The 5,179-nt window shown below is 38.4% G+C and overlaps 2 annotated features.

The window, feature by feature from the left end:
• Window positions 3,756-4,282: an enhancer, noted in NCBI's record as "NANOG-H3K27ac-H3K4me1 hESC enhancer chr4:75278865-75279391 (GRCh37/hg19 assembly coordinates)". NCBI's record gives its function as "activates a minimal SCP1, AML or CMV promoter by ChIP-STARR-seq in naive and primed H9 embryonic stem cells {active_cell/tissue: H9 hESC(naive and primed)}" and the evidence as "EXISTENCE:reporter gene assay evidence [ECO:0000049][PMID:30033119]".
• Window positions 4,283-4,808: an enhancer, noted in NCBI's record as "NANOG-H3K27ac-H3K4me1 hESC enhancer chr4:75279392-75279917 (GRCh37/hg19 assembly coordinates)". NCBI's record gives its function as "activates a minimal SCP1, AML or CMV promoter by ChIP-STARR-seq in naive and primed H9 embryonic stem cells {active_cell/tissue: H9 hESC(naive and primed)}" and the evidence as "EXISTENCE:reporter gene assay evidence [ECO:0000049][PMID:30033119]".

Raw genomic sequence — 5,179 nt, forward strand, 5'->3', positions numbered from 1 at the left:
ACTCCACAGATGATTCCAATATGCAGCAAGGCCAAGATGACCTTATAGATGTCTGCCTCCTCTCTTTACAGATCTGTAGAAATCTAGGAAGAAGAAGGCTCTTAAAGCAGTGGCTCCAATATGGGGTCCCTTGAGAAGCAACAGAGATATTTATAACTATAATAATTCTTCACATTTATTTTATATTCAGTATATTTCATAGTGTTTTCCAAGGCATCACATCATATTGAATAATCAGTATGGAAATATTTTATTCTTTATTATTATTTAATTTTATTATTTTTTCAGAAGCAGGGTCTTGCTCTGTCCCCAGGCTAGAGGGCAGTGGAACCATCATAGCTTACTGCAGCCTTGAACTCCTGGGCTCAAGCTATCCTCCCACCTCAGCATCCTGAGTAGCTGGGACTATAGGCACAAGCCACCATGTCTGGCTAATTTTTTTTTTTTTTTTTAGAGACAGTGTCTCACTGTGTTGCTCAGGCTGGTCTTGAATTCCTGGGCTCAACGATCCTTCCCCTTCGGCCTCCCAAAGTGCTGGGATTACGGGCATAAACCATGGCACCCAGCCTGGAAATATTTTTTAATTAATCTAAAAAAATGCAAAACTGATACCTCTCTAATGTTGCCTATTACGTTCTTGTATCTACTAGAGTTTAACTCATACATAACTTCTCTAATAAACTACAAGTTGTTTAAGGTTAATTTCTATATCATATTATCTTTATATACTGTACAAGTGTTCCATAAATGTTTTAATCTGATAAATGTTCAGTCAGTTTCTCTTGAATGAAAGATCGAATAATTCTGTTTGCTCCGATGAATACTATTAAGCATCTCCTCTGGGCTGTCTGACGCAGGCCCTCTAAATACAGTGGACTTTAAAGCTCCTAGCTCCTGTTTTTAAGGAGCTTACACTACAGGAAATGTATGAAATACTGAGATCTCAACTTCCAGGACGAATCCATGCCTCACATCTGTACTGACATGCCGTAGCAGAGCTCCTGGACTGGCATGAACCAAAAAAAAAAACAGGAGACATATGCCTTTCTCTTGACTAACAGACAATCAAGAATCAGCCTGTCTTAGATTGTTGCAATCTTTCTATCATTTTAAATCAACAGCTTCCTATTACTTTGAGCTTCCTCACACAAGAGACTTAAGCACCACAACCAAAGGAATGCATTAGCAATGCTTAGAACAAAAACCTGAAGTCTTAGCAGATGATGCAAATGCCTCAGGATGTCATGTAATCTATATTCAATCTCTTCATAGGAGAGATTGTACCTGAGTCTTTTATTTCTACTGGTGATTTACACCTGCAATATTTAAGATGAAGATATGTGCCAGGGAGATGTCTCAGCATGCATGAGTTTAAAAAGCAATTAAAATAAAACTGTATGTGTGCATGTATAATAATCACCCATCAGCAACTCTAAGAAGAATAAGGGTGGCTTTCCCTTAGGTTAGGTAAAATTGAAAAAGTGGCTAAGGAAACCCTCAAAAAGCCTGCTGTTAATCCAAGCTCTTGTACTCCCACAACGTGCTCCAGTGTCAGAGCTCATTTATCATCCTTTTAAGCAAAGATCTAACGAGTGCTGCACTCCCTTTGCAAGAAAAACAGGGCATCATCAGAGAGACTGATGGAAACTATAACCTGATTTGAAAAGCAGCCTCATTGGCCTTTATGATTTCAAGACTGTCCTAGGGAAGGAGGGGAAGAAGTGAAAAATCATACATCCCCCTAACCTTACTCCAAGTTGCATCCTGATTCACAGGCACCTTGTCTGCAGGGTAGACCAGGTAAGACTTGGCCAAAAATAAATGTGCTTATAGCTACTAAATTCTACTTTGGATTTTACAGTTTAATTTCATTGGATTTTGTGATCCAAACATCTTTTATTTTCACAGCCAGGCCGAATGGGAAAATGGCAGTGATACTGTTAAAAAAAACTCTGCACTTCGGCTTGGCGCGGTGGCTCATGCCTGTAATCCCAGCACTTTGGGAGGGCGAGGCGGGCAGATCATGAAGTCAAGAGATCAAGATCATCCTGGCTGACACGGTGAAACCCCATCTCTACTAAAAATACGAAAAATTAGCTGGGCGTGGTGGCAGGCACCTGTGGTCCCAGCTACTCAGGAGGCTGAGGCAGGAGAATTGCTTGAACCCGGGAGGTGGAGGTTGCAGTGAGCCGAGATCGTACCATTGCACTCCAGCCTGGGCCACAAAGCGAGACTCCGTCTCAAAAAAAAAAAAAAAAACAAAAAACAATAACAAACAACAGCAAAACTCTGTGCTTCGCATGAAGCCAAGGTAATAGTCAATGTAAACACCCCATTGAAGAATTAACATTATGCTGGGATGTAGGGTGGGAATGAGAGGGAAGGTTATTTTGAGTTTTTAGTCCAAATATAAAAGTGATTTATATGGATAAAAAATGTTAGTCTGCTTTTAAGTTCAACTTCAGTAGAATTATTTATTATAATAGCCATAATTATTTTTAAAAGCACCTTGAAAAAATTTCAGTGTGGCAATCATTTAACCAAATTACTGAGGCAAGAATCTCAGAGTCTAATCTAAAATTAGTGGGCTTTTTTTGTTAATATTTCTTACCATGTTTCTACAAATGTTCATCTTAGGTTTATTGTGTTTCAAAAACAATAGACATCACCCAATACCTTATTACCCTTTTGAAATGAGGTAATAAAAAGAGCTAATTGCTGGGGAGGAAAAAACTAAACCCTGAATATTCAAACAGCTGATCTACATTAGGTGTCAGTTTCCTTTTCTAAGGCAAAACAAGATGATGATCCACTAACTGCTTTTAAAGATTGTAAACTCACTAACAGGATATAATCATCTTGGCATGAAGATTGCATAGAGGAGAATTTGGTTACTACTAAATAGTTAAGATGAAAATATCAGCTGATACTTGATATAAAGGCAAGATAAGTTTTATTGAAAGCACATTTCTGCATTGCAAATATTAACATTTGAAGGGATAAATAGTTATTTTGTTTTATATTACTCAGCATTTTATTATTCAGAATTCTCTACTAATTGGCACTTCTGAAAATTTCCAGTACAAGGGTAGTTATTAATCATTATTACAACCCTGGAATACTGAAGCATTGCAAAACATTATTTTAAAACTAAGCATATTGTATACTCTAGTACTACTTGAAAATAAACAATACTTATGTAATTCATGTTTAGCATATCTTAATTAACCATAACACTATTCCCTAAGAATTCCAGATATAAGGCTTCTTATAAAATATATCTGTTTGAAGAATTTCCCCTTAAGTAACATTAGTTGAAAAAGATTTTTTGTCATTGAGGCCAGTTAGTAAAGTAAGTTACATGGAAGAAAAATTATTAAGTATTGGTCTCAGACTTCAAGTGGCAATGAATTTGACATCATTGGTTTCACTTGTCCATCAATTTCCAGGTATTATAGATAGTTTCTCATTAAGGTTGGTCCTTTTTGACTTGTCTGTGAATTTTGCATTTGGAGAATAATATTTTACAGCACCATTATGGAATTGAAGCACAGATGTGCAATGGGGGAAGTGCTTACAAACTATAAGAGTTGTAAGACCTCACTCACTAAAGGCATTAAAATGGCATTTTTTTCAAAGTATAGTCCTTGGGCCACTTGCATCAGTAATCACCTGGGGTGTTTCTTGCACATGTGAATTCCTGGGCTCCACTCTAGATCAAATGAGTCAAAATCTTGTCACAGGAATGGATGTTTTTATTAAGTGTCTCAGTTGATTCTTAACTCAGGCTAAAGACTAAAAATATTTGCCTTAAATGACATTTTTCATAATTTTTAAGATGAAAGTGCTATAAAAACTGGAACTACTAAAATATTTAGACTCTTTCTGACTAACATGACTGTCTCTGATGGAGCTGTATCAATAATATGCCTTATGGAGCCTCTAAGAAACTTTTCCAAAGTTACATGGTGATGATGATGGTGATGGTGGTAGTGATACTGATGACTATGGTGATGATGACAGTGGCAATGGTGATAATGGTGATTATAATGGTGGTGAGGGTAGTGATGATGATGAGAATAAGAATGGTGATGATGATGGTGATGATGGAATCACATTAATTTTGACCAGGCTGACTCCTTTTCTTTCCTTTGCCTTGCCTTGCCTTGACCTGCCTTGCCTTGCTTTGACCTGCCTTGCCTTGCCTTGACCTGCCTTGCCTTGCCTTGCCTTGCCCTGCCTTGCCCTGCCTTGCCTTGCCTTGCCTTGCCTTGCCCTGCCTTGCCCTGCCTTGCCCTGCCTTGCCTTGCCTTGCCTTGCCTTGCCTTGGTGCCATCTTGGCTCACTGCAACCTCTGCCTCCCAGGTTCAAGTGATTCTCCTGCCTCAGCCTACCGAGTAGCTGGGATTACAGGTACCTGCCACCACACATGGCTAATTTTTTTTTTTTTTTTAAGTAGAGATGGGGTTTCACCATGTTGGCTGGGCTGGTATCAAACTCCTGGCCTCAAGTGATCCGCCTGCCTCAGCCTTGCAAAGTGCTGGGACTACAGGGATGAGCCACTGGCCACTGTGCCTGGCCTCGCTGACTCTTGAAAAAATTAAATACAAGGCTCATTTCAGAGCCTTTGCACTTATGTTCCCACTGCCTAGATTTTAAATGGCTTACTCTTCATTTCTGCTCAAAAATCACCTTATCTGAGAGATCTTCCCTAACCATTCCCAAATTGTATCATCTTCTCTTACTCACTAGGGCCCTCATTTGGATTTGGATTTTTCTTCATAGGTTTATCTTATATATTTATTTACTAGTTTAATTTTTCCCCACTAAAATGTACGATCAATTAGAATAATGTATTCATGTGTTTTGTTCTCTTCCTTATTCCCAGTGTCTAGTACAGTAACTGGCACGTGAGAATGCCTTATAAATATTTGTTGAAAGTGAATGAGCCAACATACACAATTATTACATAATCTCTTAGCAAACACATGTATTAAATCATATGAAAAGGATCTGAAACGTGAACCTGTAGAACCCCAGTTTGCCCATGCTCCAGCAATGTTGCCTCCAGAATGAATGTGCTAAAGGTAAATTTATGTTTTAACATTTTAAGACATTCCCTAATAAACTGGTCTCTCTGCTTCCACTATTGTCACATTCGAATTCATTCTCCATACAG

The sequence above is a fragment of the Homo sapiens genome, chromosome 4 (genome assembly GCF_000001405.40).
Source record: "Homo sapiens chromosome 4, GRCh38.p14 Primary Assembly".
In the NCBI taxonomy this organism is placed as follows: Eukaryota; Metazoa; Chordata; class Mammalia; order Primates; family Hominidae; genus Homo; species Homo sapiens.